The sequence below is a fragment of the Homo sapiens genome, chromosome 19 (genome assembly GCF_000001405.40).
Source record: "Homo sapiens chromosome 19, GRCh38.p14 Primary Assembly".
Taxonomy (NCBI): domain Eukaryota; kingdom Metazoa; phylum Chordata; class Mammalia; order Primates; family Hominidae; genus Homo; species Homo sapiens.
Window position 1 is genome coordinate 58,302,855 of NC_000019.10, and position 2,522 is coordinate 58,305,376.

At 43.2% G+C, this 2,522-nt stretch overlaps 1 long non-coding RNA gene across 1 annotated transcript in view, besides 1 other annotated feature; it reads left to right on the forward strand.

Annotated features, from left to right (window-relative positions):
• ZNF8-ERVK3-1 (ZNF8-ERVK3-1 readthrough (NMD candidate)) overlaps window positions 1-2,522 on the forward strand; it is a 36,692-nt gene that overhangs the window by 23,889 nt on the left and 10,281 nt on the right. The gene's annotated exons all lie outside the window — the stretch shown is intronic.
• Window positions 2,245-2,514: an enhancer, noted in NCBI's record as "active region_15183". NCBI's record gives its function as "activates an Ori minimal core promoter by ATAC-STARR-seq in GM12878 lymphoblastoid cells {active_cell/tissue: GM12878}" and the evidence as "EXISTENCE:reporter gene assay evidence [ECO:0000049][PMID:35858748]".

A 2,522-nucleotide genomic window follows, 5' to 3' on the forward strand; every position in this document is an offset into this window, starting at 1 on the left:
TTTGGAAACAACCCTCCATGTCCACCATGGGGAACTGGCTAAGTCATTTATGGTGGAATGGAGATCATAGCCTTAAAAATGAAGACTCTTTATATACAGGTTGAGTATCCCTTATCCAAAATGCTCAGGACCAGAAGTGTTTCAGATTTCAGATTTTTGAATTAGGGATCCTCAAACTATACTAATGTGAGAAAGAGCTCTAAGATAGTTAAGTAGATAAAAGCAAGGTGTCAAACTGTAGAGTATGTTTCCATTTATGTAAAGAAGAAACAGGCTAGGCAAGGTGACTCACGCCTGTAATCCCAGCACTTTGGGAGGCCGAGGCGGGTGGATCACCTGAGGTCCGGAGTTCAAGACCAGCCTGACCAACACGGTGAAACCCCATCTCTACTAAAAATACAAAAGCTGGGTGTGGTGGTGCACACTTCTAATCCCAGCTACTCCGTAGGCTAAGGCAGGAGAATCGCTTGAACCCAGGAAGTGGAGGTTGCAGTGAGCCAATATTGTGCCATTGCACTCCAGCTTGGGCAACAAGAGCGAAACTCCATCTCAAAAATAAATAAATAAATAAGAAACATTTGTTTATATGTACACACATAATCTCTGAAAGGGTAAAAGTGGCATACTGGTTGGCCAGAAGAATTGGGAGGACAGTGATGAGGAATAATTTTCACTCTTTATCATTTTATATTTTTGGAATTTTGAAACATGTAAAATTATTACCAGTTCAAAAAATAAATTTAAACAAAAATCTTAACTGTTTCAAATTAAAGTAAGTTTGATAATTTCTTTCATTGTTTACTGTCTGCATCCCCCATACAGTGTTCACATGAGCAGAGAGTGTGTGTCTTGGTCATATTCATACTTGTTCTATATATACTCGTGTGTGTGTGTGTGTTCAGTTGACAGAAACAGTTGAGTGTAAAACAGCTTCAACTCGATGATACCAAAGATACAAGATAAAGGTCCCTGGAGGGTGGCTGTAGCGCACACATACATTTCCAAGTTACTTTGTTAAATTTCCTGTATCAATGAGCCCCAATTATGAGAGCCCCCTACATACAAGTTTTAGCCAATAGCCAAGTCCCCCATTTCCAGTGTTATCTTCATGTCCTCCAAGGTATTCAAGTTGTTTCTGCAATGGGTAACTGGGAAGAAATCAGCATCCAGTCTGAAAAGCAGTCTCCCATAGGTCTTTTGTAAGGAGATCCAACATGGACATCTTCCAGAATGCACTGTACAACATGGTAGCCACTAGTCATGTATAGCTATTTAGATGTAAATTTTTTTAATTAAAAAAATTTTTCATTTATAGCAACAGGGACTCACTGTGTTGCCCAGGTTGGTCTCGAATTCCTGGGCTTTAGTGGTTCTCCCACTGTGGCCTCCCAAAGTGCTGGGATTACAGGCGTGAGCCACCATGCCCGGCCCAGAGCTGATAGAATTTTTAAAGTCCCCCTGTGATGATCTGACTGTGGTAGGAGTAGGGAGGTGTAACCCGAGTCAGTATGCACATTGGGAGCCTCCTCCACTAGGTCATACAGGCCTTCTGCGTGTAGATGGAATTATCATGTCCCACACTGTACCCCGGCACCTCCCTCGATTAAGGTGATTTGCATCATGCAGGGCCTGCCTGTTATCAGAGAGTCTCCTGGACATACAGAAATAGGAATGTACAGGGACTGCATACACCTGTTGCTCAATTTCTAGCTAAATGGCTGGAGGTGGGGGATAAAGAAATGGCATTCATACGGTGTAATACTAGCCATGTTTCAGAAAGTTTTCAAAAAATGTTTAGTGGAGAAATGTGCAGGGTCAGTGGAAGAAAACCTGTAAAATTATATTATGATTGTTTTATACTCTATACGGACAAGCCTAAATTGGAGGGCATTTTGGAAAACTCGCTTGGATACATGAAAACTGCCAAGATCATTATAAAGAAACAACAGGATCCATTCTAGATTGAAAGCAACTTGAAATGAGACAGTAGAGTGTAATGCGTGTTTAGTTTGTGCTTGAATAAAAGACGAAAACTACGTAAGACATTGGGACAACTGGAGAAATTAGCATATGGGCTGGGGATTGGGTACAGGCTTCAATGTCGTTACTTGGGTGAGTTGAAGAATGTACGTGTTCTTAGGGGACATCTGCTTAAGGATATACAAGGTTCAGGGGGGAAAAATATCTCCAAACGATATACTTTTATATCTATGTGTGTACATGTGTGCGCGTAGAGAAAGAAAAAAGTACATACGCTGTATATTTCAAAGAACATATAAAACCATGGATGTCAATATACTTCCCTTCCGGTGCGCTGCCTGCGCAGAACCGAGAGGTTCTGACGATCCGCAGCTCCCACGCTCCCCTTCCGGCCCCGCAGCGCTGTGAACTCCATTTCCCAGAAGGCCTTGTATCCCGTGCATGGCCGTTTCCAGGCAGGAAGGCGAAGGGCCTTCTGGGAGGTGAGGTCCTGGGCGGCCGCTGGCCACCAGGCGGAAGTGCGTACCGGAAGTGCCGGCGGC